At 35.7% G+C, this 6000-nt stretch overlaps 1 protein-coding gene across 11 annotated transcripts in view; it reads right to left on the bottom strand.

Moving 5' to 3' along the window:
* Positions 2085-6000, bottom strand: part of TP63 (tumor protein p63) — a 300531-nt gene continuing 296615 nt past the window's right edge. For all 11 annotated transcript variants that reach the window (NM_001329964.2, NM_003722.5, NM_001114978.2 and 8 more), the window contains one exon: positions 2085-5155. In NM_001329964.2, coding sequence (NP_001316893.1) covers positions 4859-5155 — 297 coding nt within the window. In that variant the 3' untranslated portion in view covers positions 2085-4858. The remainder of the gene's footprint in view (positions 5156-6000) is intronic.

Genomic DNA, 6000 nt, shown 5'->3' with positions numbered 1-6000 from the left:
ATACTTTTTAAACACCAATTAGAATGATTAATCCAATGAGTTAAGTTTCTACCTCATTTTTCTTCCGATTACCTTTGATACTCACCAGCCTTTATTTGTCCACTTGTGAAGTATATTGGTAAATTTTGGTGCACAAGAATCATTAGAACTAAAATAATACTATCGCATGTCCTTTTAGAAAATCGGATGGTCAGATTATTGTTGTAACCTTAAATGGTAAAATTCTTCCTATTGAAGAACTATCTAGATTAAAGTAAGCATATACCCTTTTTATCTTTAAAACTTTATTCCTTGGCCACTGAGCCTTGTGCTTGAGAAAATTCATCTAGGATATCATTACATGAAAACTCAAACTTACACAAGCCATTTCACCATCACCAGAGTCTAGAGTGCCATTGTGTTTTGTATTCATATTCTGATGTAACAATTTTGAAATGCTTTTCTCTGTCAGTTTTAATATCTTTACCATTATGGGGAGAAAATGAAAAATCCTAACTACAAAGATATTGTCTCCTATTCTATACTTTGTTGAAAACTGATGCAATACTAATGAGCAACCCAGTAAAAAACCAAAAAACCTGGATAATTACACAATAGTAAATAGTAACTTCATTTCATCATCCTAACAGGCTTCTTATTACATCATCTTTCTAGCTAATTGCCCAATAGAACTACAATGAAATCCATTTACATAATTTTAAATTTTGTAGTAAGCATATAAAGGAACGGGTAAAATTAATTCCAGTATATTTAACCCAAAATATTTATTTTCAACATCTAATTTAAACAATTATCAAGGAGTTATTTTATATTTTTGAGTCCCTGAAGTCTAATGTGTATTTTGCATATACAGCACATCTCAGTTTTGACTAGCTCCATCCATGTGCTCAATAATTACATGTAGCTAGTGACTACCATATTGGACAGCACGGTTTTGGGCAATCCCACCATTCTTCTTGGTTTTTATTCTTTTTTTACTCATTAGAATTGATGGATAAAAATAAAGCAATTTCTAGAACGGCTAAAATAAAGTCTCAAGACATGAAAAAGAAGAAAATCGCCGAGTTTCCATAGTGCATTTTGTATTTGTAAAAGGGTTTAACAGACCCAATAATTCTAAGCAAATGCATTTTTTTAAAAGTAGGTTTTTCTTTTACTCCAGAAGACAGCTAAGAGTAAATAAAAGTCATGAACTACCAATTCATACAAATAGAACTACTGAAAAAATAAAAATTAAAATTGAAAGAGCCCAAATGACAGATCAATTATTAATCATTTTTATAGCTCTTTTATATTCCTCATGCTAGCATAATTGAATTAACTGTTTCATTTCTGGCACTCTATCACCTAGACTGCAAGGACTAAGAATTGAATATTTTGGCTGCACCTGCTTGCCTATATGAACATATCTTTATAATGTGATTATATCTATAAATAGAAAAACAAATTGATATCTCTAGTATATATTTTTGTTATTCTGAAAAGTTTATTTTATAAGTCTAAGGCATTATATTGTATTCATGCCATCCAATGTTATCCCATAAAGTAATATACATTCTTATTTAATAAAAATAATTCACCCATTTTGATAGAGATAGTATTGGCTAAATCAATGTACATAACTGAAGGGTGATATTTAACAATGAATTTAAAAGGGAACATGGCCCAGTCAGGGCCCATCATCTGCAGCGTGCTCCCACATACCACCAGCTTATTTGCTTTCCACTCCCACAGTACTGATGAGGTCACTGCTGAGTATCATCGGAAGGTCACTAAGTTAGACATTAGGAATATTTGAAGTCTAGTCCCTGTTCTAAAGCAAACTCTTTCTGACCTCAATCAAATAAGGTATTAAAACTTTGAATGTCTCATTCACCAAATGAAAATGCCATTCTGGTCTTTCCTATTTTGTAGGTTGGCTAAAATGAGAAAAGAATGATTATTTGTTCTCAGATGAGAAACGTCAACATCTGAAACTCTCCAGTGTTTTGCTCGGTATCTCTTCTTCCTCGATAATATCAACAAGGCCAAAGGATGGAAGAATGGACAAATAGGCAAACAGACACAGATAGACACACACACAATTTCTTAATTAGTTTTTATTTATTTTTTAAATTTTATTGCATGTCCTGGCAAACAAAAAGAGATTGTAGATTGGCTTCTGGCTCCCCAAAAGCCCATAACAGAAAGTACCAGAAGACAAGCAACTGAAGCTTAAAAAATGTATCACATGTATAATACCTTTTGAAAACATTAATAAAGCATATAAAACTTTTAACATTTGCTTAATTTTGTACAATTATAAAAATAATAGAAAAAAATATCCCTTTAACATTCAATATCCCACATACTGTTATTTTAGGGGATTACCAAGAAAAAAAAAAGGTAAAAGGATTTAATGAAAACTCTGCTTTCCATTTCTGTTTATAAACGTCTCCAAACAAAAACTTTTCAATTCTTCAGCTAACTGCATTGAGCTGAGGCCACAAGAACTCCATTAAGCCCACTTTCTAGTGGTTTCTATGCTTACTATCCTTTTACCCCTTACCCTGGCTACTCATACACTCAAGGAGAGTAGGCTGCCATGAGGAGGTAAGCCAGTAAGGGTGCCTCGCTTTGGCTAGTGCCAAATCCATGAGACACAGTACAGGAATTTCCAAGGCCCTAGTGTTACCTGAATAGTACTGACATAGCTCGGAAGTCCTAGGTTTATTCAAACCCTCAGCAAAGTAAGGGAAGCAGTTTGTCTTCTTACTAGGACCAAGGAACAGCTTTCATTCTTCCCCTTAATGGGTTTGCAAAGCTGCATGCTTGTTGCAGAAGTTTACAGTGCTTATTACCATTTAAGTACAACAAAACTTTGAAATCAAGGACTCATTCTCTTTAACATACAAAATTTTAAAAAAATAATAAAAAAAAACTTTCCCTTCCCTCCCCTCTTAAAATTGTAGCATTATTTCTTATTTGATGTGGTATTCTTACTAAATGGTATTTTCATGAAAATACAAAAACGATAAAAAAAGGTTTCAAGTGTGGTTCTGGAAATCCCACTATCCCAAGAAGAAAAAAAAAATAATCAAAATACAAAGTATGCAATTTCACACAAAATATATACACACTTTTCAGAGGCAATCCACACATTACCTTTTAGAGCCACGCTGGCCCTTTTGCACTTTAAAATTAAAATGGAAGCTTATGTGCAATGACAGCCCTTGACCAGAATGCATGGGAAGATTTCAGAGCTCATTTGCATGCATGCAAAAAAATGTGTTATATTTCTGAAAGATCTGGAATATTGTCATTAACATGTTTTCCCAAAGTTTCAAGGGAACTCTTCGTTTAAGTGGTTTAAGCAACAGCAGCCATGAAAGACTTATCTCTTGCTCTGTGGGGACCTTTCATGTCTATGGGTAGTCCCTAAGGGAGATGGACGGGAAACTGGGTTCTCACAGTTACTTTCCAACAAACTGAAACTCTTACCGGTTAAAAAAGAAAATGATACAGTGATGCAATTTATGCCACAGGAAAACCAATCTCATAATTTTATATTTTTCAAATCACCACTCCTATTGTAAACCTTAGAGAGAGAAAGGTAAACAAGCCTCTACATGCAGAGTTTTATAGAATAGGAGGGTCTTTAAAAGAAACATTTACCAAACAAAAGAAACATTTACCAAACAATATTATCTATGCTTCAAAAGATTTTTACAAAGTTGAATTTATGGTTCATTGAGATATCTTACTGTTTAGTACAGACTCAACATTTCTGAATGATTCCTATTTACCCTGAATATTAATAGACAGTAAAACTTCACTGTTAGAACTAGATAGATGGCATTCATCCCAATCAAATCAATCAGAATTCTTACAACAGTAGCAAATGTGTATTTGAGTTAGTCAATCTAGTAGTGAAATTTAGTTTTAATACCTCTGTAATGGCAGCAAATGTTTTCCCAATCAATATTGTAAGATAAGGTATCTGGTATTAAATTTAAGGGGGTTACTGATATGCTCAAATACATGACGTCGGGTGTTTTTGAACTGGCTGCTATGGGCCTTTTAAGAATTTTCCTCATTCCCAACCAAAAACTAAAGAGGACGTTTGGACATGAACTTCTTCTTATAACTGGATTAAATCACCCCAACGTGAACCATCATCACTAGAAGAAATGTCAGTAATATAAAATATACCAACACTGAGAAAAGAATACATATCTACAGTCTTACCTACATAATAAGCAATGGAAATGGATCTACTCAAAGGTTTGATGTGGCATGTATTTAGAATCCAAAGAACTGAAAGAATCTGTACATCATCGTCACTCACATGTAGCATTAAGCTCTAGATACCTATCACCATACATGATACCCCTTAAGGGAAGGAGTATAGACAAGCCATCCAAAACAAGTAAATTAAAAAATGGTCAATAAGTGCAACTCAATTTTCTTTCATTTAAATTACATTTTAAACAATACTCAATGCCCCCCACCCAAAAATCTATACTGTATATTTATACATTTATATATATAGTCTTAGACTATAAGGGTGAACATGCTTTATAAAAGTCAATGAGAAATCTCTGCAGCTTAAGGAGACACCCAACTCTTTTTTGCTCACTTCTACCTAGCCATGGCAGCTACAGTTCTGCAAGCTATAGTTTTGAAGGCTTAAAGCCAGAATCAGAATTAGATGCCAGGTCAGATGTTAGGTAAGAGGTAGCCTCTTACTTCTCCTTCCCCTAAGAAATCAGACAAGAGGAAGGGGAGGAGCTAGGGAGAAGGCTTTGAAGATTAAGCAGGAGTGCTTTTAGGGGGCTGGCAGTTAGGAGAGGGATAGGAAGAGCTCACATGGTGAGGCTCACTCCCCCTCCTCTTTGATGCGCTGTTGCTTATTGCGGCGAGCATCCATGTCAAAGTTGAAGTCATTCCACTCATCTCGGGGTGGGAAAGAGATGGTCTGGCGGAGGGTGAATCGCACAGCATCAATAACACGCTCACCCCGGGTCTCACTGGAGCCCACACTGACTGTAGAGGCACTGCTTGGGGTCCGCAGGAGATGAGAAGGGGAGGAGAATTCGTGGAGCTGCCGGTGGTCCAGGATGCCCTTCCAGATCGCATGTCGAAATTGCTCAGGGATTTTCAGACTTGCCAGATCCTGTGCAACAGGGGAAGGTGTCATGGAGAATGAAAACAGGGAGAAAAACGGACATTTAGTCCACAGCATCCTATCATTCCCTGATGCTCTGGTTTAATTGATCTGAATCTATTGATCCACAAATTAGAAAATAAAATTAGTTCTCTGAGTCTTCAACTCTATGGAACTAAGCACAAAGGCACAGCCTTGAGGTGTCTTTCCTGCCTGTGTAGAACACTTCACTTAGTCTCTACTGGCCTCAGTTTCTTCATTGGTAAAATTGGGATAATAGCTAGATGAGAGGGCAAAAATCCCAAATAGAAACATGAGGTACCTACTTATGCTTGAATTTACCTGGCTAGTCACTAGAAGAAAGGTATTAATGGAATGTCACCACCACTTGGTTGAGGAGATGAGAAGAAAAGATTGAGTACTTTCTATGTGCCAGGCCCTGAATTATTTTATATTCATGATATCATTTAATCCCCAGATTAGTGGTAAACATTATTAGACCTGTTTTATAGATAGAACAACTGAAGGCCAGAGAGGTTGACAAGTTTAAAGTCACATAACTAAGTGAAAAAATTAGGGACTTAGGGCATCCTCAGAACCTGAAACGGCACTTTTATCTAAAAGGTCTCTTGGTGTTTGAATAAAGCAAGGTATCAAAATGCAGAGCAACTGTGTCTATGTTCTGTGAATGGGTGCAGAAGGCATTGCAAATAGGGTCAACCTTAACTGACTGTGGTGATATCACTTACATTTATCTGCGTTAGCTCTTCTTTAGATTGTTTCAGTGATAGCTCATATTTTCACAGGGCAGAATGGTAGGTAAACAGCACATTGTGCTTGGAGTGAGAAAACTG

Source organism: Homo sapiens, chromosome 3 (assembly GCF_000001405.40).
Source record: "Homo sapiens chromosome 3, GRCh38.p14 Primary Assembly".
Classification (NCBI taxonomy): domain Eukaryota; kingdom Metazoa; phylum Chordata; class Mammalia; order Primates; family Hominidae; genus Homo; species Homo sapiens.
Note: the sequence above shows the minus strand (reverse complement) of the source record. Positions and strands in the feature narration are given on the sequence as shown.